Genomic DNA, 25,698 nt, shown 5'->3' with positions numbered 1-25,698 from the left:
TCAGCCTGAGCAACATGGTGAAATCCCGTCTCTACTAAAAATACAAAAACTGCGGCGGCAGCGCCACTCAGGCGTTGGGTAACGCTAGACAGATGGACTGTCACGTGACATGAAGTGGCTCCGAACAGGAAGAGGACGGAAAAGATAACCGTCCCTGATGCCGAGACGAACCGGACCTGCAGCCACCATGAACAGCAAAGGTCAATATCCAACACAGCCAACCTAGCCTGTGCAGCCTCCTGGGAATCCAGTCTACCCTCAGACCTTGCATCTTTCTCAGGCTCTACCCTATACTGATGCTCCGACTGCCTACTCAGAGCTCTATCATCCAAGCTTTGTGCACCCCAGGGGCTGCCACAGTCCCCACCATGTCGGCCGCTTTCCTGGAGCCTCTCTGTATCTTCCCATGGCCCAGTCTGTGGCTGTTGGGTCTTTAGGTTCCACAATCCCCATGGCTTATTATCCAGTTGGTCCCATCTATCCACCTGGCTCCACAGTGCTGGTGGAAGGCGGGTATGATGCAGGTGCCAGATTTGGAGCTGGGGCTACTGCTGGCAACATTCTTCCTCCACCTCCTGGATGCCCTCCCAGTGCTGCTCAGCTTGCAGTCATGCAGGCAGCCAATGTCCTCGTAACTCAGTGGAAGGGGAACTTCTTCATGGGTGAATCAGATGGTGGCTACACCATCTGGTGAGGAACCAAGGCCACCTTTGTGCCGGGAAAGACATCACATACCTTCAGCACTTCTCACAATGTAACTGCTGTAGTCATATTAACCTGAAGTTGCAGTTTAGACACATGTTGTTGGGATGTCTTTCTGGTGCCCCAACTTTCAGGCACTTTTCACATTTAATGAGGAACCATGTAATGGTAGCAGTAACTCTCTGAAGCATTTTGAGGTAAGGGAGGTATCCATTCATAAAATGAATGTGGGCGAAGCTGCCCTAAGGATCTTCCTTTAATTTGGAGTAATACTGTGCCATACTGGTCTTTGCTGTTAGTAATAAAACATCAAATTAGGTTTGGAGGGAAACTTGATCTTCCTAAGAATTAAAGTTGCCAAATTACGGCCAGGCGCGGTGGCTCACGCCTGTAATCCCAGCACTTTGGGAAGCTGAGGCAGGCGGATCACTTGAGGTCGGGAGTTCGAGACAAGCCTGACTAACATGGAGAAACCCCGTCTCTACTAAAAATACAAAATTAGCCGGGCGTAGTGGTGCATGCCTGTAATCCCAGCTACTCAGGAGGCTGAGGCAGGAGAATTGCTTGAATCTGGCAGGCGGAGGTTGCGGTGAGCCGAGATCACACCATTGCACTCCAGCCTGGGCAACAAGAGCGAAACTCCGTCACCAAAAAAAAAAAAAAAGTTCCAAAATTATTCTGATTGGTCTTTAATCTCCTTTAAGTCTTTGATTTATATTACTTGTTATAAATGGAACGCATTAGTGTGTGCCTTTTCCTTTACATCCCTTGCCCCACCCATCCCATCTCCAACCCTAGTCTTCCATTTCCTCCCGCCAGTCTCCATTGAATCAATGGTGCAGGACCGAAAGCCAATTTCCTTCTTTCCTTGTACTTCTCCCCACTGGTCATCTTTTAACTAGTCTTTCATAAGGATCCTCTGAAACCCCCTCTGTGCCCCAAGCACAGATCCCGTTACTTCTGCTTTCGTATTTCCTCAGGCAAAAATGGAGGGTGCCTTTTGGGTCCTCCTCATAGGTTGTCTCTGCATACATGAACCTAACCCAAATTTGTTTTGGTGCCAGAAAAACTGAGCTATGTTTGAACAAAGATATCCTGCAGACTGTACTGTGAACAACAGTTAGTTTAAAATATGAGAGGTGGCTGGGTGCAGTGGCTCACGCCTGTAATCCCAGCACTTTGGGAGACTGAGGTGGGTGGACCACGAGGTCAAGAGATTGAGACCATCCTGGCCAACATGGTGAAACCCCCCGTCTCTACTAAAAATACAAAAATTAGCTGGGCGTGGTGGCATGCGCCTGTAATCCCAGCTACTCAGGAAACTGAGGCAGGAGAATCGCTTGAACCGGGGAGGCAGAGGTTGCAGGGAGCCAAGATTGCGCCACTGCACTCCAGCCTGGCAACAGAGTGAGACTCCGTCTCAAAAAAAAAAAAAAAAAAAAAAAAAAAAATTATGAGGGGCAAGGAGGAAGATGCATTTCAAAAGCCTGATTGATGGTTTAAAGCCAAATTAAGAGGAGTTTTCAGATCAAAAATTGGTTACCATTTTTTGTCAGAGTGTCTGATGCAGCCACTCATTTGGTCCCCCAAAATTCCTGGAGTGGGTTAATAGGGTCATATTGTGAATGCCTCACTACAAAACGACTTGAATCCAGTGAAATCTCATTAGGGTTAAGAATATTTCAGGGATCCTTAATGTTTTGATTTTTGTTTTCTGAAATTGGATTTTATTTTGTCTTAAAATTTCAGTTCATCTAAATTGTGAGTTCTGTACATGTGATGTTTGTACCGTTGACTGTTCTGGAAGTTCAGCATTGTATGTCTCTCTCTACACTGTAGTGCAGTTAACTTGTGGAATTTTTATGCTAAAAATGTAGAATAAAGACTATTTTGAAGATTTGAAAATAAAAAAAATAAAAAATACAAATATAAAAACTAGCCAGCATGGTGGCCCGTGGCTGTACTCCCAGCTACTTGGGAGGCTGAGGCACAAATCTCTTGAATCTGGGAGGTGGAGGTTGCAGTAAGCCAACATTGTGCCACTGTACTCCAGCCTGGGCAACAGAGTGAGACTCTGTCTCAAAAAAAGGGGGTTGGGGTGAGGAAACGGGCCAGAGAAGTTAAAGTACCTGGGCCAGTGTCACACAGTGAAGATGAAATAAAGCCAGTTAGTATCAAATTCTCCTGAGTCTTGGTAGAGTGAGGCTCTTCCCCTCATTCCTTTAGTTATTTGGTTTTCTGCTTTCGGCTACTTGGACTAGCCTTATAAATTGCCCAGATTTCTCTTGGATGACCGTCAGTTTTCTTCTCGTGTGGAAAGTTGGAACTCCCAATAGTTTGCCTGTGGTCTCAATATTTAGGAAGCTAATTCTGCTTCTATGGTACATGGAATACATAATTTTGAAATGGAGTCAGGGCTTTCCTAATGATCCATTTTGTAATTCACCTAACAGCTGAGGAAGGTCCAGAGAAGGAAGAACTCAAGGTTAGTAGACAAACTTGATATTGAGTTGCACTGGCTGCCTTCTCTTTTTGGTCCCCTAAAGAGTATTTATCATCTTAGATTCAGCTTAAGTTGTGGACAAATATCAAGGGGAAAAGTATTTACAGTTAACGTTGGAATCACACGGTTTTCGGGGTTGTGCCTCTTTACCCTTCAACTTTGGTGGTTCTAAAGAGGGACGATTATTAGTTGCTTTCACTAAGGAAGGGAAGTTCATGATGTAGCAACTATAGAGGACCTAGCTTTTAAAAAGTCAATTGAAATACATACCTCAGTTTTTATTATCAGAAAGATGCAATGATAATCACTAGTGTAGGAGAATAAAGGGGGAAAATTCCCCTGGCCCTGGATAACTTTGATTCTGTGCTTTTTCTTCTAACAAGGCCCTCATGTTAGATCTGGTCTTGGGGCCACATCCCTAACTTCATCTGGAAGTATTCTTTGCCCTTTGTCCACTTCATTCCATCCATACTGTCTTTTATTCTTCCAACATGCCAGTCTCATTTCTTTCTTCAGACCTTTGTATTTACTGTTTACTTGCTGGAATATTTTTCTCTCAGATGTTTATGTGGCTCTTTGTTATTCAAGTTTCACCATATATGACACCTCTTTTGAGAGGTCTTGCCCTGGCTAGCCAATTAAAATGAGCCACTTGCAATCCTATCAAATCCTTTTTTTTTTTTTTTTTTTTTTTGAGAAAGAGCCTTGCTCTTGTCGCCCAGGCTGGAATGCAATGGCACGATCTCAGCTCACTGCAACCTCTATCTCCCAGTTTCAAGCAATTCTCCTGTCTCAGCCTCCCGAGTAGCTGGAATGACAGGTGCCTGCCACCATGCCCAGCTGCTTTTTGTATTTTTAGTAGAGATGAGGTTTCACCATGTTGACCAGGCTGGTCTCAAACTCCTGACCTCAGGTGATCCACCCGCCTCAGCCTCCCAAAGTGCTAGGATTACAGGCATGAGCCACTGCACCCGGCAGCCCCTGCCTTTTTTTTTTTTTTTTTTTTAAAGAGAGTCTTGCTCTGTCACCCAGGCTGGAGTGTGGTGACTTGATTTTAGCTCACTGCCGCTTTGACCTCCCAGGTTCAAGTGATCCTCCTGCCTCAGCCTCCCATGTAGCTGGGACCACAGGCATTCACCACCACACCTGGCTAATTTTTTGATTTTTTTTGTAGGGATAGGGGTTTCACTTAGTTGCCTAGGCTGGTCTTGAACTCCTGAGCTCAAGTGATTCTCTCTTCTTGGTCTCCCAAAGTGCTGGAATTAACATGTGTGAGCCACTGTGCCCGGTGTCCTATCACATCGTTAAATTTTTTCTGCATAGCATTTATTGCTAGCTTTAAAAAATATTTGTTTAGAGTCTGTCTCCATTCCCACCCCTAGAATGTAAATATGATGGGAAGAGAGACCTTCTCTGTCTTGCTTACTCCTGAATTCCTAGTGTCTAGAACAGTGTTTGGCACATAACAGGCACTCAGTAGATATCAAGACAGGCAGTGGGTTCGAAATCAGGGGGTCTTAGATCTGGTCTTGGCATTGTCCCTAAGTCACTGTTTGTCTGTGATCAAGATCCTTTCCCTCTTTGGGACTTGCTTTTTTCATCTATAAACTAGGGGGTTGACGTAGATATCTCCAAACTCCCTTGTAGATTCATTACAACTTCATTAAGCTACAAAGGAATCCTTGACATTTGCAGCAAAAGAATCCCTCTATGCCTTTCAGTCTTCCAAGCCATGCTGGGGGTGGGGGGACTTTTCTTGTCTAAAGGCAGTGCAAAGCTAGCACTAGCACTGGACAGTGAAGCCCTTGAACCATCCCCCTATGGCAACTGTTGCCCAAATATCCAGTACCTGGCTTGTTCCTGGGCTTGTTTCGTGGCTTCTTCCAGAGCCAGTCTTGCTGCTTCCTCTTCTTTTTGCCTCCTCTCCTCTGCCTCCAGCCGAGCCTTCTCTTCTGCTTCCTGTTTCCGCCGCTGGTACTCCAGTCGTTCCTCTTCAGCCATTTCCATCAGGTGTTTTTGTTCTTCTTCTAACTGCATTTCCAATTCCTCTTGCCTTTGCTTCTCTGCCTCTGCAGAATAGAAAAGGGGGTGGGCTCAGCAGGGATCATTTTTAGGGAAAACAATTTTCGGATCCAACTCTCAAATCTGTGATTCTGAAGGACTCCCCGTGAGAAATTTTGCAGTTGACCTGCTAGCAGGCTGCCAGATCCTCTCTGGGGAGTACCTTGGGGATTAATTTACTAATTTAAGAGTCCTTTATTAATACAAAGCCTTAGGGAAGAATTTTTCCAGAGCCCGGTGTGCTTATGTGGTGGTATGAAGCTGGGTTGGGGAGCGGTGTCAAATCAGGGTCTAGAGAAACTTGGTGCTTCCTGGCCGGGCGTGGTGGCTCACGCCTGTAATCCCAGCACTTTGGGAGGCCGAGGCGGGCGGATCACGAGGTCAGGAGATTGAGACCATCCTGGCTAACACGGCGAAACCCCGTCTCTACTAAAATCACAAAAAAATTAGCGGGGCGTGGTGGCAGGCGCCTGTAGTCCCAGCTACTCGGGAGGCTGAGGCAGGAGAATGGCGTGAACCTGGGAGGCGGAGCTTGCAGTGAACCGAGATCGCGCCGTTGCACTCAAGCCTTGGCGACAGAGCGAGACTCTGTCTCAAAAAAAAAAAAAAAAAAAAAAAAAAGAAAAGAAAAGAAAAGAAACTTGGTGCTTCCTCAGCTGGACTGACCAGTCTACAGCCAGAACCAGGAAGTAGCCACAGTTTTGTCTGCTGAAGTTCCTATCTCTTCCTCAAAGGTGAGGCTGGACCCAGCAATCCCACTACTAGGTATATATCCAAAGGAGAGGAGATGAGCATGTTGAGGAGATACTTGCACCCGTGTGTTTATTGCTGCACTCTTCCCAACAGCCAAGATACAGAATCAATATAAATGTCCATCAATAGATGAGTGGATAAAGAAAATGTGGTATATATATACATGATGGAACACTACTTATCCATAAAAAGAATGAAATTCTGTCTTTTATGACAATGTGAATGATCCTAGGAGGACTTACATTAAGTGAAATAAGCCAGGCATAGAAAAATAAATAACACATTTTTACTCATGTGAAAGCGAAAAACATTGATCTCATGGAAATAGAGAATAGAATAGTGGTTACTAGAGGCAGGGAAGGGTAGGGGGTTGGTGGAGGTGGGTAGGGAGAGGTTGGTTAAAGACTACTAAATTACAGCTGGATAGAAGGAGTAAGTTCTAGTGTTCTATAGCACTGTAGGCAACTGTAACAATAACTTATATTTTCAAATAGCTATAAGAGTGCAGTTTTTTTCTTTTTTCTTTTTTTTTTTAGACAGAGTCTTGCTCTTGTCACCCAGGTTGGAGTGCAGTGGCACTATCTCAGCTCACTGCAACTTCCGCCTCCTGGGTTCAAGTGATTCTCCTGCCTCAGCCTCCCAAGAAGTAGCTGGGACTACAGGCACACACCACTACACCCAGCTAATTTTTGTATTTTTAGTAGAGACGGGGTTCTGCCATGTTGGCCAGGCTGGTCTTGAACTCCTGACCTCAGGTGATCCACCTGCCTAGGCCTCCCAAAGTGCTGGGATTATAGGTGTGAGCCACCACACCTGGCTAGAAGAGTGGATTTTGAATGTTCCCAACACAAATGATGAATGTTTGAAGTGATGGATATGCAAATTACCCCAATTTGATAATTACATATCATATATGTGCCAAACGGTCACACTGTACCCTGTAAATATGTACAATTATTGTTGTCAATTAAAAATAACTAATAATTGGGCTGAGCACGGTGGCTCACACCTGTAATCCCAGCACTTTGGGAGGCCAAGGCAGGCAGATCATGACGTCAGGAGTTCGAGACCAGCCTGGCCAACATAGTGAAACCCCATCTTTACTAAAAATACAAAAAATTATCTGTGCATGGTGGCGGGCGCCTGTAATCCCAGCTACTTGGAAGGCTGAGGCAGGAGAACTGCTTGAACCTGGGAGGCAGAGGTTGCAGTGAGCTGAGATCACATCATTGCACTCCAGCCCAGGCAATAGTGTGAGACTCGGACTCAAAAAAACAAAAACAAAAACAAACAAACAAAAAACTAATAATTTTTTAAAAAGAGGCTGGCAAGATTCCACACATCAGCACCTGAAAGTCTGCCCTGAAGCTATCCAGATGTTTGTGGCTGTTTCCATCTGCTCGGGAAGGAAGCAAAGAGTAGGGCTGTGTCTCCAATTTAGGTAGCTCTTGAGCAATGCCGAAAGGGCAAAGGGACTCTGGAGTCATTTCCACAAGCAAGTCATTACTTTCTTATTTAAATCTATATTAACAAATTATAGTCATACATAATCACTTTGAAAAATAGTTTATATTATTTAGAGTGCTTAACACACTAAGGCCTAGGATAGGAATAAATGAACACTCACAGCTGGATAAAAGTGTTTCTGCCCCAAGTAGAAGAGAGATGCAAAGAGCTCAAGAACCCCCTCACCGGCCCTCTCGGCTTCCTCCTGCTGCTTTTTTCTCTGTAGTTCTCGCAGTTTCCTCCGAAACTCCTCTTGCTGTTGCCGGGCTCTCTCCTGGGCTGCTTTCAACCGGAGCTGCTGCTTTCTCTCCTCCTCCTCCTGCCGCTGCTGTTCTTCTTGGAGTCTCTGTTTCCTCAAGCTGAGAAAACCCAAGATGGTCAGGGAAATGGCAGAAAACACTGAGGCATCCTTGTGAGATGAGCCAACAGACAGTGCCCATGGGGGAGGCTCTGCAGCCCACAGGCCACAGGGAGCAACCTATTCCCAGGAGACTCAGTTTTCCAAGGGAAGCCAGGATTGAAGAGCAAAGAGCCCAGCGGGCTTGAAACCAGAAGCCTAGAAGTTTCAGTACACAGCTCTGTGCTCTGCAGCAGGGGTCTTAAGTTCATTTTTCATGCTTATGGATTTCAAAACTCTTGCCTCACAGGGTTGTGAAGATTAAATTGCAGTTGAGGCCTGTGAAAGGGCCTAGCACAGTGCAGACCACAAAGTGCAGGGGCTTGACAAGTGTTTTCTGGACTGAATCTCAGAGCCTTCCCAAGAAGATCTCAGGGTCATCAATGTGAGTAACCCTCACATGGGGTTCTAAACTTGAAAGAGAGTGACATTCAGCAGAGTGTACCAATGCACATGGTTGAGACGCTACAGTTTATCTCTGGTGAGTGTTGTTCCTAGGAAAACTGAGGATAGAGAAAAATGACACATGCTATTTTAACTTCAGGGCATGAGCCTCAGAACCAAACATTGCCCCTAGGGGAGGTCAACCACTGTCTTTTTCTTCTGCTTCCTAACATGGCTGTAGTCTCTTTGGCTTGCCCAACCTACCGGATCTCTTCTGTACGTCTCTGCTGCTCCAGCTCCAGCTCCTCCTCCATCTTTTTTGCTCTCTCCAGCTGCTCCTGCTGGAGCTGCCTTTGCTCTTCCTGCTCCCTTCTCTTCTTCTCCACCTCCAGCCACCTCATCTCGGCTCTTTCTGCTCGAAGCCTGTCCCAGGAAGCCTTCTCCTGCTCCCTCTTAGTGAGGAGGGCCTAAGAAACCAGAGTGTTCTCAGTGCAATAAACAGATGGGTCTGTCTCAGCAGTGAGCCCTTCTCCACCCCAGACAGTGTTGTCTCTAATCAAAGATGGAATCATAAAACAGACTCCACACTTTGCCCACAGCTGCATAGACTCAGCCACCACCAGCTTGGACTTTTGGGTCTGATTAACCTGGATTCAACTCTCTCTCTTACTTGCTTTGGGATTTAGGGATCACAACTTAAACTTCCCGATATTGTCTTCCTCATGGTACTGTTGCCAGGATTAGCTGAAATAATGAAAGTGCCAACATAATGTCCAGTACATGGTAGGTTCTAGAGTTCTCAACCATGGCTGCACTTTAGAATCACCCAAGGAGCTTTCAAAAATTACTTGTGGCTGGGTGCAGCAGTTCATGCCTGTAATCCCAGCATTTTGGGAGGCTGAAGTGGGAGGATTGCTTGGGCCCAGGGGTTCAAGGTAACAAGTCACCTATGATCATGCCACTGCACTCCTGGGTGGCAAAGCAAGACTCTGCCTCAAAAATATAAAAACAAGGGGCCGGGCATGGCTCATGCCTGTAATCCTAGCACTTTTGGAGGCTGAGGTGGGTAGATCACCTGAGGTCAGGAGTTCCAGGCCAGCATGGCCAACATGGAGACACCCTATCTCTACTAAAAATACAAAATTAGCCAGGTATGGTGGCACGTGGCTGTAATGCCAGCTACTTGGGAGGCTGAGGCAGGAGAATTGCTTGAACCCGGGAGGCAGAGGTTGCGGTGAGCCGAGATTGCGCCATTGCACTCCAGCCTGGGCAAAAAGAGTGAAGCTCCCTCTAAAAAAAAAAAAAAAAAAAAAGAAGCTATTTTACCAGGGGCAATCTTAGGTATAGATGGGTCAGATTCACATTTAATCCCACAGAAACTCACCTTTCCAATGGAAGGTTGTTCTTTCAGTTTATAGGAAGGTTGTCATAGCTTTCTTTTTCTCCCTAGTGCCTCTTCCTCAGAAATATGCCTATGAAGGGAACCTTGAGAGGCAAGCCTTCTAGGAACTCTGTGTATCCAACTCAGAGAAAAAGCTCCTTGCTTTTTAGTCTTTGCAGAGGCAGCATAGTATTATGGATTGACAATAAATCTAAGAAATGCTGATGATCCCGCAGGTTCAGAAAAGTTCGGCCCATAGGTTAAAATTTTCATCTGTTGTGCAGAGCCGAATTGTGTGATCCAGGAAGCTGGGAGGGACTGAGAACTATAAAGGAAAATCTTCCTGGAATCCTTTTTGGAAGACCATGAGCCATAAAATAAGTAAATAGATAATAATTTAAAATGGTGACAAGAGTCCTGAAGTTGGAGTCAAAGGACCTAAGCTTAAGTCTTGGCTCTACCACTCAATGGTTGTGCAATTTCTGGCAACCTGCATTTAACTCTTTCTAGTTTCTATTTCTGGATCTGTAAAATGGGGCTAATCATACCTGGCTCACAAGTGTGGTAAAGGTTAATGTAACATATGTGAGTTTAATTGTAGTGGCTTAGCTGTGTGTGCATTTGTAGTGTTTAAAGCTACTTTTTAATTTTTTTGTATAAGATGTCAAAATGAAGTTCAGTACCTTAGTCTCAGGGGAAGAAATAGTAATTTATTCCAACAGCAGAGGAAAGATTGGCCGTTTTGGTCTTACTGACAGATGATGCATCTATATGGTATTCTTTTTTAGTTAGTTGCAGGGATTTTCTTTTTTCTTTTTTTTCTTTTTTTTTTTGGTTAGAGATAGATAGAGTCTTGTTCTGTTGCTCAGGCTGGAGTGTAGTGGCATAATCATAGCTCACTGCAGCCTCAAACTCCTGATCTCAAGCAATGCTCCTGCCTTGGCCTCCCAAAGTGCTGGGTTTACAGGCATGCGCCACTGCATCCGGCCGAATTGCAGCAATTTTCAAGGGTAATTTTTCCTTACACTCAGTTTTTCTCTTCAGACCTCCACATTAGAAGCAAGGTCCCTGGAACAAAGTGACTCTTACATCTTGTGGTTTTGTTTTTTTTAGATGGAGTCTCTCTCTGTCGCCCAGGTTGGAGTGCAGTGGTGTGATCTCGGCTCACTGCAACCTCTGCCTCCCAGGTTCAAGCAATTCTCCTGCCTCAGCCTCCCAAGTAGCTGGGATTACAGGCGTGCACCACTGTGCCTGGCTAATTTTTGTATTTTTAGTAGAAACGGGCTTTCCCTATGTTGGCCAGGCTGGTCTTGAACTCCTGACCTCATGATCCACCCTCCTCAGCTTCCCAAAGTGCTGGGATTACAGGCGTGAACTACCATGCCCGGCCCAAAAGCATCTTGTAAAAGCAGGTATATGTGTACAGGCTGCCTCTCTCTATTCCAGCTGCATACCGCAGAAACGCAGATTAGGAAAGTAGGAATTTCCACAGCCTTTGGAAGGCAAGTAATAGATGAGCCCTAGCCTGAGTCAAGGAAATATGCTCAGCTCTGACAGCCAGTACCCACCTTTCCCTGTAACCATGAGTCCTGCACCTCTCAGAGATGGGTGCTGTGATCATTTCCTATTCTTTAAAGGGTGGATACTTGCCCTGGCAATGTGGGGGCCTCACAGAATGCATCACCACTTCAGAGGGGCTTTGCTACCCCTGCATCTTTGATCAGGTCTGGCTTCTTACTAGGGTCAGAAGATACCAAAGTAGAACAATAAGACCATTAGGTGGTCGAGCTGTTTTAGTAAGTGCAATATAATTAGGGGCAGCTTTCCCATCTTTGCAGTCGCGCCAAGTGAGAACAGAACTTCCTCTGTCAAGCTGAGGACATCAGACCCTACCTTGGAAGGGTCCTCACATCTTCTCTCTTCTTTAGATTCCATGTTGCCAGTGACAGTTGCAATCTGAGAGGGTGATGATCTTCCATCTAGAGAAACTTGGCTTTCCTGGGCATCATATTTGGGAGAAAGCCAAGGGTCCTCTACAAAGGAGTCTGAGGCAAAGGAACCTCTATTTGAGGTGTCTTCTGTTTCCTCATAGCTGACATCAGGCCCGCTCAGCTCTGCCGCTATCTCCAGATTTCTTTCCTTCTGTGTCCTTTTCCTTTGGGGTCTTGTTTTTTTTTCTAATTTTTTTTTAGCCTTTGAGTCCTTTGACTTTCCTGGGGGAGAACAATTGGGGATAGAGATATAGCTGAGTTAACTTAATGTGATCACTATACATCCTTTTTAGTAACTTTTTTTTTTTGAGACAGGGTCTTGCTCTGTCACCCAAGCTGGAGAGCAGTGGCACGATCATGGCTCACTGCAGCCTCGAACTCCTGGGCTTGTGATCCTCCCACCTCGGCTTCCTGAGTAGCTGGGACTGCAGGCACACCACCATGTCTGGCTAATTTTTGTATTTTTTGTAGAAACAGGGTTTTGCCATGTTGCCCAGGCTAGTCTCAAATCCCTGAGCTCAAGCAATCCACCCACCTCAGCCTCCCAAAGTGATGGGATTACAGGTGTGCGCCACCGTGCCTGGCCCCTTTTTAGTAACTTTTAAAAGTTAGCATGCAATGGAATCACCTGGGGTGCAGATTCCTAAGCCCCAGCCCCAGAATCTGGTTCAGTGGGAATCTGCATTGTAACAAACACCCCAAGTGTTTTGGGAAGAGTAGTTCACACACCACCGTTTGAGAAACTACCTTATCCTCTTTGGATCAACTGACATTCAGCAGTCTTGCTATTAAATAAGTTCTATTTCAGCCGGGCGTGGTGGCTCACACTTGTAATCCCAGCACTTTGGGAGGCTGAGGCGGGCAGATCACGAAGTTAGGAGTTTGAAACCAGTGTGGCCAATATGGTGAAACCCTGTCTCTACTAAAAATACAAAAATTAGCTGGGTGTGGTGGTGGGTGCCTATAATCCCAGGTACTCGGGAGGCTGAGGCAGAAGAATTGCTTGAACCCAGGAGGCGGAGGTTGCAGTGAGCCGAGATCATGCCACTGCACTCCAGCCTGGGTGACAGAGCGAGACTCCATCTCAAAAAAAAAAAAAAGGTTCTATTTCACTCTGACTTATGGTGGGGGCAGGACCGTCCGGAGGGTAGGCTTGTACACACAGCTGGAAAGTCATACCTTGAGAGTCTGGCTTGAGGTTGCAGCTTTGTAACCTGGCAAAGTTCAGCCTTCCGTACTCTAAGGACCCTTCCTTCGCTTCACCTTTGGTAGGGGCACCACAAGTATTTCCTTTGCCTAATTCCACCAATGCTACCCAAGTCATGGGCTACAAAAATGTAAATTCAGCAAGAGATGAACAAGCAAATGTCAAAAATAGGTTTCACTCAGGAGTGTATCCATTGTTGTCCTTTCTAGCAGCACTGGATTTGTTTGGAGGGTCTTCTGAATCATGTGGGCAGTAAAGGATGGGTGTAAGTTTTAGGCTAAAGAAAGTGTTCAGAAGCAAAGGAATCCGAGTTCCTGGTCAGGCTCAACATAGGGAACCAAGACAGAAACCGTAGCTTGGAGGATCATTCAACACTTGTGGCATCCTTCCCCTTCCCAAATGCTCTCACTACCCAATACTCTGATTATGTGATATAGTTATTATTTTATGGAGGCAGTGGCAATAGAATCTGCTGGGAGTCAAATAGGAAAGGACAAGCCCTGGGTCTACCACTTTACTGTCTGATCTACTTGATATTATGTAAGTCACCCAACCTTGCTCAGCCTCAGTTGCTACATGAATATAATAATAACACTTCCTTCATGGAGATGTTGTGAGGATTTAATGAGATCACATATACAGAGTCCTAATAAATAAGAGTAGGTATTCAGTAAATAGGTGCTCTTATTATTATAATTTCCTTTCTTGGTGATCACAGGCCTCTAGGCTCCCCGTTTTCCTGTATCTCTGTCTATTAAGATACTGATATGACATAAGGCTGCAACACCATCTTGGCTGTAGTAGTCAAGAAGTCTCAAAACAGAGAGTTTGTCCGGTAGGATCCATGCTAATTATCCATACCACCTCCCGACCCCTAACAGAAGTCTTCTCCAGGTTGTTACTTGCAGGCACACTCTCTTACCAATGGCAGCCTCTGCTTGCCCGTAGACCTTTCCTTCTCTCTCGCTTTTGGGTCCTTTGGTTTTGTCTTTCTTGGGTTTTTCCTTTCTCTTGGCCTCGTTAATCAAATCCCTCTCCTAAAGGTGAAAAATCAAGGAAGGGGACCATAATATGTATAGGAAATGAAAAAATCCATCAAAGAAGATTATGTTGAACAAGGTGACACACTGGCTTAGAATGGAATTTGTGTGGGTTCCAGGTAAAGCAGAAGAGTGAATCTTAGAGAATGCAGAGCCGATGGGGAGACTCAGAGGTTCAGCCTTTGATGTAAAACTGCTAGAAATAATTTCATAAGAGGAAAGAGGAAGAAAAAACACTTATGGTCTGCCTCCTTTCTTAGATTCTAAATCATGATTCACAGAGCTGGATCAAAGGGAAAGAGTTTTCACCTTTGATAGATTGGTGTTGCCATGATTAATGGTTAACTATTCTAAATCAAAGCCAGCTTTATTCACTGCAGAATGATTTGCTAACTTTCAGGAAACCTCAGGCAGATGACCACAACTATGTCAGTCTTCACCTTTCCCCATGGGCTAGAATAACACAGTGGTTCCTCCTAAGAGAGGATGGCAGAGTGGGGTCATGACTACCCACTCAGTACCTTTGTAGGAATTAGAAATGGGGCCAGGTGCAGTGGCTCACGCCTGTAATCCCAGCACTTTGGGAAGCTCAGGCAGGTGGATCACTTGAGGTCAGGAGTTCGAGACCAGCCTGGCCAACATGGTGAAACCCTGGCTGTACTGAAAAAATACAAAAATTAGCTGGGACTGGTGTCACATGCCTGTAATCCCAGCTACTCAGGAGGCTGAGGCAGGAGAATCACTTGAACCTGGGAGGCGGATGTTGCAGTAAGCCGAGACCGCGCCACTGCACTCCAGCCTGGGCAACACAGTGAGACTGTGTCTCCAAAAAAAAAAGGAATTAGAAATGATGTTCCATCCTTCAGGAGGATGCAGCCCAATGTGGCTGTGCAGGGCTTGGTAAGCAGACCACAGGCTGGACCTCAGTGCCCCCCTCATCCCCTTTATCGGGTGCCCTCATATAGTGAGCAATCTATACAACTGTGCATGGTATCCTTGATGAGATCCAAGTAGGGCTTTTGGACCAAGCTTTTAGGGGTTTACACTCACATGACTGATGTTGGCTGATGTCTCCTGGCTAAACAGTCTTGGTTCAGCCTTCCCTTCTCTTTCTCTTGGAAGAAGAGATGTATACACAGCACTCAACCTCTCGGGTGACTCAGGCCCGTATCCCAGAAGTCCTCTGTGTAGGTGGTGTACATCATAATCTCTGCCCCTTTGAAAAGAGCAAACCAACAGGACCAAACTAAAGAAAAACTCTGGTGGAAAGAAAGAGGGCAAGTGAGCCAACATCGAGCACCTGTTCTCTGCAGGCACTGTGCCTGACATTTGACATACTTAGTCAACTCTTTTTCTTCTGCACATCCCATGGTAAGGAAGATGAGAAAGATTGGTCTTCACTTTAGGGATTTCCTCAGAATAAATCCTAAAATTTAGAGAGTGGGATAAATTGTTTGCTCTTTGGGGTTGCATATTTATGCTTTTAATTGAATGGCATAGAATTATTTAACTGAAATTTCTTCTATCAAAGGATTAGCTGGAAAAAGAAAGTGACCTTTAAGAAAGATTGTGTTAGGAACATGTAACTATCCATTCATTCCTTTATGCCCTCTGAATTCTTTTCATTTTTTTTTTTTGAGACGGAGTCTCGCTCTGTCGCCCAGGCTGGAGTGCAATGGTGCGATCTGGGCTCACTGCAACCTCCACCTCCCGGGTTCTAGCGATTCTCCTGCCTCAGCCTCCCCAATAGCTGGGATTACAGGCGCCCACCACCACGTCCGGCTAATTTTTGTATTTTAGTAGAGATGGGGTTTCACCATGTTAGTCAGGCTGGTCTCAAACTCCTGACCTTAGATGATCCACCAGCCTCAGCCTCCCAAAGTGCTGGGATTACAGGCATGAGCCACCACGCCTGGCAATATGCCCTCTGAATTCTATCCTTGATCAAATTCAGCCACTAAAAGGTCATGTGCTGTGTTGGTTTTATCCATTGTAGAATTGCTGTCACTCACTGTTTGCCCTGAGGATAACTGACTTATGCCCTCTGGGTAGAAAGGGCACTGAAAAGCAGCCACGTGGATTGCAGCAATATCAGTTACTGTGTGCCTGCTCTGTGCCAGGTCTGGTTCTGGGCATTTTATTTTATTTTTTTTAGCTAAATGAGTATTCTCTTTACTGTGCTCTGCTAGCACGGGGCCTTACTGTAGAAACTTGAGAAATATTTGTTGAATGAGGTGAATGGAATTTCCTGTAAATATATGAGACTTTAAATCATTCAATGTCACTCTATAAAAGCCTATACGAGAAGTCTCCTTTAGAATTTAGTGCTTGGAAAACCTTTAATTTCCCTGAGGAATAGGTATGCTGCAAATGAGAACCACAAACCTGATTGTTTTGCTCTTTTTTTTTTTCAGAAATCTGTAGGTCAGGAATCCCTCTGTCAAGCCTGAAATTAAGTCACAAAGGCTATGATGACTTTTGTGAAAAGTTTGTGTTTTTTTCTCCTGATTTAAAAAAATTTTTGTGTTTTTTGGTGGAGGTGGTTGTCATAAGCATTTAAAATACATTGTGAGAAAAGATCAGGTATAAAATTCTAAAAATGGTGTTCCTCTGGTGGCTGTCTCATTCATCCAAGTGCCTTTCCCCCTTTATTCCTGGGGAACACAAAACCTTTTTGACCTAGGAGGGAATCCTTACATCCCTGGGCAGGTGACAGCAGGTTCTCAAGTCATCGAGGTTTTTGGGAAGTCACAATAGGCTGTGGTTCCAGATGGAGGCAGAGAGGCCACGCCAGCTGCCACTACCAAAGTAGCTTAAGTCAAAACACTACGCCTGACTGGCTGGGCTCACAGTAAGCGCGTAAGTACAGTACATGGGAAGCACTCAATACGGGCTAGCAATTATTATTAATATTGGTGTTAAGATTATCAGCATTATTTATTTTACTCAGAGCTGACTGAATGCTGAGGGGACAAACCCAGGTTGAAGTGATAGATTTCAGCTTTCTAGGCATCTCTGTGGATCTCAGATTGGGCAAATGGAAAGAGCTGTTCCCATAGGGTTAGAGTTAACTTCACTCTTTATCCAACCAGCCAAATAAATATGATTTAGGTAGGAAACATATCACAATATAATCATCCTCAAGAATCTTTGTTTCTTAGACAACCATTTAATTTTGGCTGTTAGAGCATACTGTCAGCTGAGAACTCCCATTCCTGTCTGAAAAAAAACCAAACTAAACCAATTAAAAATACAAACAAAATAAAAGCAGAGAAGCCTATGTTATTACAACTTTGAACACTTACACTTTTTGCACAATATCTGCTTCTGGGGTCTGGATGTGCTCAGTCCGGGAAGCCCTGGGAGAGTCAAGGGTCATACTCCTTGGCTCTGGGTCTGTGAAAACAGAGTATCAATCAATAAAGGACAACAGGCAGTTATCCTAGGAGGAGATCAGACATGGAAAAACATCTACCTGGTGAGTAGCCAAAGGCATGCAAATTAGAACAATGACGTATGCTATACCCAGAAAATTAGCAAATACTTCAGAAACCAGGGCTGACACATGGCAAGTAACATTAAAATTAGTATTAAAATATCCTTTGGGAAAGTGATATGACAGTATGTATCAGTGATCAGAAAAATGTTCTAGCCTTTGATCAGGAATCTCACTCCTGGTATTTATCATAAGGAAAGAATTCAAAAGAAGAAACAAGCTTTTGTACCAACTTACTTCTTATTACATTACTTTTTTTTTTTTTTTTTGAGACGGAGTCTTGCTCTGTTGACCAGGCTGGAGTGCAGTGGCGTGATCTCCGGTCAGTGCACCCTCTGTCTCCTGGGCTCAAGTGATTCTCCTACCTCAGCCTCCCGAGTAGCTGGAACTGCAGGTGTGTGCCACCACACCCGACTAATTTTTGTATTTTTAGTAGAGATGGGGTTTCACCATATTGGCCAGGCTGGTCTTGAACTCCTGACCTCGTGATCCACCCACCTTGGCCTCCCAAAGTGCTGGGATTACAGGTGTGAGCCACTGCGCTCAGCCAACATTACTATTAATCATGAAAAATTAGAAACAGCTCAACAAGGGAGACTGGGGGAGTAATTTATGATACATTAACTTGACATTTAAAATTATGGTTAAAAAGATAAATAAGCAATATGGAAAAACTGATATGACAAGTAAAAATATAAACTACAGAATAGTGTGTTAGAACTCTATAAAATCTGGACGGATATGAACTGGAAAACAGAAAAAGGAAATAATAGATAACATTGGGAGGTTTAGGTGTGTTTATATTTTTTCTTAAAGGTTATAACATTGAAAAGCAAGTTGATTTTAAAAAACAAATGTTAGGCTCACGCCTGTAATCTCAACACTTTGGGAAGCCAAGGCAGGCAGATCACCTGGGGTCGGGAGTTGGAGACCAGCCTGGCTAACATGGTGAAACCCCATCTCTACTAAAAATACAAAATTAGCTGGGTGTGGTGGTGGTGCATGCCTGTGATCCCTGCTACTCGGGAGGCTGAGGCAAGAGAATAGCTTGAACCTGGGAGGTGGAGGTTGCAGTAAGTTTAGATAGCACCACTGCACTCCAATGAGCACCACTGCACACCAGTGGAGCACCACTGCACTCCAGTGAGACTGTCTCAAAAAAAAAAAAAAAAAAAATTTAAAAAACCCCCCAAAAACCCCCCAAAAAACAAATGTTAACTTTTTTTTTTTTTTGAGACAGAGCCTTGCTCTGTCGCCCCGGCTGGAGTGCAGTGGCACAATCCCGGCTCACTGCAACCTCAGCTTCTTGGGCTCAACCAATCCTCCCCACCTGTCTCGCAAGTGGCCAGTACCACAGGTGTGCACCACTATACTCGGCTAATTTTTTCTATTTTTCGTATAGACGGAGTCTCACTATGTTGCCTAGGCTGGTCTCGAACTTCTGGGCTCAAGCGATCCGCCCGCCTCAGCTTCCAAAAGTGCTGGGATCACAGGCATGAAGCACCATGCCTGGCCAAAAAAACAAATGTTATCTTATGAGGATATGAGGAAGGGTTACACAGGCCACACAGTTAGTGCTCTTTGCTGGGTGCTCTGCAGACTGTGTTGGGCTACTCTTTTAGAATGAAGAGTCTCCAGACCAAGACTTCATATTGGACTAGTCTACATCTTGTTTTAGTTACTTTAAATAATTTTTTGATTATGGAAGATACATTTTATTGCAGAAAAATTGGAAAACACAAAAAAAATCATAAAGAAGAAACAAAACCCCCACAGTCAACTCATAACTACTAGAATGACTAAAATTAAAGACTGACTGTACTGAGATTTGACAAGGATGTGGAGGAACTGGAACTCTCATCTACTGCTGTTTGGAATGTAAAATGGTACAACCACTAAGGAAAATAATTTGGCAGTTTTTAAAAAAGTTAAATATATACCTGCCGTACCATCCAACTATCCTACCCCTAGGTATTTTACCCAAGATAAATGAAAGAAATGAAAGCATAAATCCATACAAAGACTTGTACACAGATGTTCACAGCAGTTTTATTTGTAATGGTCAAAACTGAAACAGCTCAAATGTCCATCAACAGATAAACAGATAAACTGGTGTATATATACAATACAATACAACTCAGCAGTAAAAGGGAATGAACTATTGATATACCTGGCAATATGGATGAATCTCAAAATAATTATGTTGAGTGAAAGAAATCATACGAAAAAGTACATATGGCTGGCTGGGTGTGGGGGCTCATGCCTGTAATCTCAGCACTTTTGGGGGGCTGAGGCAAGCAGATCATCTGAGGTTGGGAGTTCGAGACCAGCCTGACCAACACGGAGAAACCCCATCTCTAGTAAAAATACAAAATTAGCTGGGCGTGGTGGTGCAAGCCTGTAATCCCAGCTACTCGGGAGGCTGAGGCAGAATGGCTTGAACCCGGGAGGTGGAGGTTGCAGTGAACTGAGATCGCGCCATTGCACTTCAGCCTGGGCAACAAGGGTGAAACTCCATTTCAAAAAAAAAAAAAAAAAAAAAAAGAATAAAGAAAAAAAAGTACATATGGCATGATTCCATTTATATAAAATTCTAGAAAATGCAAACTAATCTATAGTGACAGAAAACACATCAGTTGTTGTCTGGGGATGAAGGAGGCTGGAATAGGGGAGGTATGAGGAAACTTTTGGGAGTGATGAATATTGTATTTCGATTGTGGTGACGGTTTCATGGGAATTGTACAATTTGAAAAGGTCTAATTTATTGTATGTCAATTATCCCTTGATAAAGCTGCTTTAAAAAAGTAGCAAGAGATATGTTAATACAAGGAAAGTGCCTAAACCAGTGCCAGCACACGGTAAAAACAAACAAGAACCAAAAAAATCTCACCATGCTCTCTCACTCTACCCATATACAACTACTGCAAATATTTTGGTGTATTTGCTTTCATGTATATCTAATGAATATCATATTTCCATATAATTGATTAGTGTATATTCAATTTTAATCTACTTTTATATTACAACTTTCCCATATAATTAAATATTCTTAATTTTTTTTTTTATTCTTAGAGACAGGGTCTCGCTCTGTTGCTCAGGGTGGAGTGCAGTGGCATGATCACAGCTCACTGTAACTTTGAACTCCCGGGCTCAAGGGACCTCCCACCTCAGCCTCCTGAATAGCTGAGGCTACAGGTGTACACCACCACACCCAGCTAATGTTTTAAAATTTTTCTTTTTGTAGAGACAGGGTCTTGTCATGTTGCTCAGGCAGGTCTCAAACTCTTGGCCTCAAGCAATTCTCCTGCCTCAACTTCCCAAAGTGTTGACATGACAGGCATAAGCTGCCACGCCTGGCCTAAATGTTCTTAAAAATGATTTTAGGCTAGATGTGGTAGCTTATGTGTATAATCCCAGGACTTTGGGAGGCTGAGGCAGGCAGATCGCTTGAGCACAGGAGTTTGAGACCAACCTGGGCAGCATGGTGAGATCCTGTCTCTACAAAAAATAGAAAAATCAGCTGGGCATGGTGGCATAAGCCTGTCATCCCAGCTACTCAGGGGGCTGAGGTGGGAGGATCGCTTGAGCTTGGGAGATCGAAGCTGCCGTGAGCTGTGATGGCACCACTGCACTCCAGCCTGAAAGACAGAGTGGGACCCTGTCTCAAAAAAAATTTTTAATTGCAGCACAGTATGTTATCGTATGAATGTACCATAAGTGACTTAACCAAACATGTAATTTTAAAAATTCATATCGCTTCTATTTTTTATAACCATAAAGAACTTTGCATAGAATATCCTTGAAAGGAATTTTTATTTTGTTTTGTTTCTGAGACAGTCTCGCTCTGTCGCCCAGGCTGGAGTGCAGTGGTGCGATCTCGGCTCACTACAACCTCTACCTCCTGGGTTCAACCGATTCTCATCCCTCAGCCTCCTGAGCAGCAGGGGTTACACGCATGCACCATCATGCCCAGCTAATTTTTTGTATTTTTAGTAGAGACTGGGTTTTGCTATGTTGGCCAGGCTGGTCTTAAACCCTGGCCTCGAGTGATCCACCCGCCTTGGCCTCCCAAAGTATTGGGATTACAGGTGTGAACCACAGCATCTGGTCAGGAATGTTTTGATTATTAAAAAATTTACTCTTTGTTCATATTTCTGATTAAAGGATGTACAGTCTATTTTTTGTGGGTTTAGCAGTTTATCAGGATTTATAAGTGTCATTTTAAAAACAGTCGATTTAAGCCATGTAGAAATACATATGAAAAAGTCTGCAAAACAAAACATACTTTAAACATGTTTAAGTAGATAGATTATCTGAAATTCTGGATTTTTCAGTCACTTCATTGTTATGCAGCCAAGCAATTCTTTTTTTTTTTTTTTTTTTGGAGGAGTTTCACTCTTTTGGCCTAGGCTGGACTGCAATGTCGCGATCTCGGCTCTCCGCAACCTCCGCCTCCCGGGTTCAAGTGATTCTCCTGCCTCAGCCTCCCGAATAGCTGGGATTATAGGCATGCACCACCATGCCCGGCTAATTTTGTATTTTTAATAGAGATGGGGTTTCTCCATGTTGGTCAGGCTGGTCTTGAACTCCCGACCTCAGGTGATCTTCCCACCTTAGCCTCCCAAAGTGCTGAGATTACAGGCATGAGCCACCGCGCCCACCCGGCTGGCAGCCAAGTAATCTTAACTTCAGTTGGAGTAAGCCCCCTAAATCCAGCTTCGTTGAAGATTCCAACTTCTATGTTATCCTCTCATTTGGCCTTCAAAGCTTTCCTTTAGGGTTAACATGGCTGTATGAATGGCATCTTCAAGTTCCAGATCTTCATTTTATCTTTTCTCAAGGGAAGTTTCCCCATTCACATAGTTCTTTCCCACTGCTGTGGCTTTCCAGGCCAAGTAAGCTCCAGATGGATCTGACTGAAATAAATATGGTTGTCCCTCATTCCAACCACAAACAAGTAAAGAAACTCCAAATGGACAAACACCACCTGACTGAGTATATTCTTGCATTACAGAAGCTACTCTCCGCACTAGCTGAGCTGTGGGAATGGGCACTTGGTACACAAGATAGTATTGTTGAGCTAGTTTCGAGCTGTGTGCACAAGCACTTTGTTATCTGGGCCCACGCCACTGTACACCAAACCTATGTGCTTGGTAATTGGTTCCACTTTGTCTACACTTCGCTCATCATACAGAATGAATTTCTGTTTTTTCTCGGTTGCTAATACCACACCATTTGCCGCTTTAATTCCCACTGACAGGGCTCCTCCAGCTACAGCAGCCAAAGCATATTCAATCCGGACAAGTTTATCAGACGGGCTGAATGTAGTCAGCGAAAAGCCGTACCGCGCTCCGCCATCTTTACCCGAAGAGCCAAAGCACAAGTATGTACAGTTTTTAAGTCACAATGCCTACTGCCAAATTGTTCCCTAGAAAATTTGTACCAATTTGAATCAGATAGACACAGATGCTGGTCTAAGGGAGCTTACATTCCAGTGGGGAAGATGAATATTAAAACAAAACCAACCTCAAAACACAAAACTGTTTTTGAAAGGAAGACTCTAATATTCAATTAGTGCCTTTCTCTCTTGAGAAGTAGATTCTTGCATGAATTAATTTATTTCTTCTCAGTTTTATTTGAAGATGTTATACTTTTAAAGAAAGATTTGAAAAGAAAAAGTTCACCCATTATTCCATTGGCATCATTCCCTTAATACTACAGTTAATCTGTTTTTCAATGTTATTTTGTGGTTTCCCCGCCCAGGAGCTTCTTTGCAACTTTGGTTTTCTTCTACTTCTACTCAGGTTCAGGGAGGTGTCCACTGTCTCTCAAATCAACCACCAGACTTTAGAGGGGCACAAGATTGTTAACGCGCAAAGGTGGTTGAGGAATTGGAAAGGTTGACTGGGGCTGCACCTTGGAATTTATTTTGTCTTGGATAATATGTAACATTAACAGAGAGCAGAAGCTGATTAAAGTATCTTGGTGCCAAAGGGTAGTTCTGTGAGTATTTCTTTCCTTAACATGACTGGCGCGAAAAAACTCTCACTGAAGACTTTCACTGCTCTTCTCAACTATTTTGAACTCTGGGACAGGGCATGATAGAACCAGCAGAGGGCGTATTTGTATTGACCAAAAGCTGAGGTTGTACATTGGTGAAACTTCCATTGTGATTAGAATTGAAACCTTCCCAGTTTTGGGATGTGGGCCATAGAAGGGTGATTTTTTTTTTCTCTTAGTAAAATAACCTGATATTTAGGAAGTATTGGAACAAACGAAGTCAGTGCTTTGAATAACTTACAACTTTTAAGTACTTTTTAAAAGTCTATAAAATATCTTAAGCGTTCACAGTATAGGAAAAATACTGTATACTCATTGCCACTTAGTTTTGTAAAATTTTAACATTTTGCCATATTTGAGTCATGCATTTCTTTCTTTCTTTCTTTCTTTTTCTGAGACAGAGTCTCACTCTGTTGCCCAGGATGGAGTGCAATGGCACCATCTCAGCTCACTGCAACCTCCACCTCCTAGGTTCAAGCAATTCTCCTGCCTCAGCCTCCCAAGTAGCTGGGATTACAGGTGTACGCCACCATGCTCAGCTTATTTTTGTATTTTTACTACAGACAGGGTTTCACCATGTTGGCCAGGCTGGTCTCAAATTCCTGAACTCAAGTGATCTGCCTGCCTTGGCCTCCCAAAGTGCTGGGATTACAGGCATGAGCCACTGTGCCCAGCCTAAGTCATGCATTTTCTAAAGAAATCAAACATTTAAGACACAGTCCAAGACTTCATTTATCACATGCTACTATGGTGTGAATGTTATCGTCTCCTTCAAAATTTGTGTGTTGGAAACTCAATCAATATTCAATGCAGCAGTGTTGGGAGGTGGGGCTTAATAAAAAGTGTTTAGGTCATGGAGGGCTCCATCCTCATGAATGGATTAATGCTGCTATAAAAAGGGTTTGTGGGCTGGGCACAGTGATGCACACCTGTAGTCTCAGCTACTCGGGACACTGAGGCTGTGGATAGTGTGAGTCCAGGAATTCAGGTTGAGCCTGGGCAACATAGAGAGACCCCATCTCTAAAAAAAGAAAAAGGGCTTGTGGGAATGAGTTCCCTCTCTTTTGCCTTTTTGCCTCCCACCACGTGAGGACACAGTAAGAAACCTGCATCTTGATCTTGGGCTTCTCAGCCTCCAGAACTGTGGGAGACTGTTCTGTTCTTCATAAATTACCCAATCTCAGGCATTCTGTTATAGCATCACAAAATGGATTAAGACACATATAATCCCATTTCCCTCTCCCTCCCAGAGGTAATCAGTCTCTTCAATTTGATATTCATCAATCCTCATATATATTTTTATATCTGTATTACATATACATGCACATGTAAACAATATATAGTATTTTTTACAAATTAAAACTTTACATAAATGATATTATTTATGTAACTTGTTCAACTTGCCTTATTTTGCTTAATAAGGCAAAAAACCCTTAATAAGTCTTTTGGGATTAACCCATATTAATACATGTAATTTTATTTTCAGCTATCATATAGTATTCCGTTGTATAAATATGTGACCATTTAAAAATCCATTTTACTATTGGTGGCCATTTTGATTATTTCCAATTGTTTATGATTATTAATAATGTTTCAATGAACCTTTTTAGGTGAGTCACTGTTCATACATGCTTTCTCTAAAGGATACCTGGGAATGAACTTGTTGGGATGCAGGATATATGCATCTTCAATTTATTGAATATTTTCAAATTGCTCTAAATTACTAAAACTTTATATCCTCATTAATAGTGTTTATAGACTTTTAAACTTTTGCTGGTCTGATATATATGAAATGATATCTTTTTGTTTTAACTGGGATTTTCCTGATTAGTAAGGAGAACTTTTTTTTCTCTATGGCCATTTATTTGTGTTTCTTCTTCTGTTAGTTGCCTGTTCACATCATTTGCTCATTTTTCCTTTGGGTTGATTGTCTTTTTCTTTCCCTATTTGTAGAGGGAAGAAATGCTGCTGCATTTTGGTTACTAATGCTTTGTTGGTTACATGCATTGCAGGTATCTCCTTCTAATCTGCAATTTGGCTTTTAACTTCATGTTGTCTTGTTGAAAACTTCAAACTTTAATATAGTCAGATTCATTGGCGGGGCACAGTGGCTCACACCTGTAATCCCAGCACTTTGGGAGGCCAAGGCAGGCTGATCACTTGAGTTCAGGAATTTGAGACCAGCCTGGCCAACATGGTGAAACCCTGTCTCTACTA

General features: G+C 43.6%; 1 protein-coding gene and 2 pseudogenes across 2 annotated transcripts in view; 1 reads left to right on the top strand and 2 right to left on the bottom strand.

Moving 5' to 3' along the window:
* KIAA2012 overlaps positions 1-25,698 on the bottom strand; it is a 131,934-nt gene that overhangs the window by 3,115 nt on the left and 103,121 nt on the right. For both annotated transcript variants that reach the window (NM_001277372.4, NM_001367720.2), the window contains exons 16-22: positions 17,231-17,321; positions 14,976-15,141; positions 13,808-13,922; positions 11,581-11,900; positions 8,571-8,773; positions 7,712-7,884; positions 5,055-5,274 (exon numbers count right to left, since the gene is read on the bottom strand). In NM_001277372.4, coding sequence (NP_001264301.2) covers positions 5,055-5,274; positions 7,712-7,884; positions 8,571-8,773; positions 11,581-11,900; positions 13,808-13,922; positions 14,976-15,141; positions 17,231-17,321 — 1,288 coding nt within the window. The remainder of the gene's footprint in view (positions 1-5,054; positions 5,275-7,711; positions 7,885-8,570; positions 8,774-11,580; positions 11,901-13,807; positions 13,923-14,975; positions 15,142-17,230; positions 17,322-25,698) is intronic.
* On the top strand, positions 112-2,611 carry DAZAP2P1 (DAZ associated protein 2 pseudogene 1; annotated as a pseudogene).
* On the bottom strand, positions 22,088-22,730 carry PSMA2P3 (proteasome subunit alpha 2 pseudogene 3; annotated as a pseudogene).

This window comes from Homo sapiens, chromosome 2, assembly GCF_000001405.40.
Source record: "Homo sapiens chromosome 2, GRCh38.p14 Primary Assembly".
Classification (NCBI taxonomy): Eukaryota; Metazoa; Chordata; class Mammalia; order Primates; family Hominidae; genus Homo; species Homo sapiens.
Note: the sequence above shows the minus strand (reverse complement) of the source record. Positions and strands in the feature narration are given on the sequence as shown.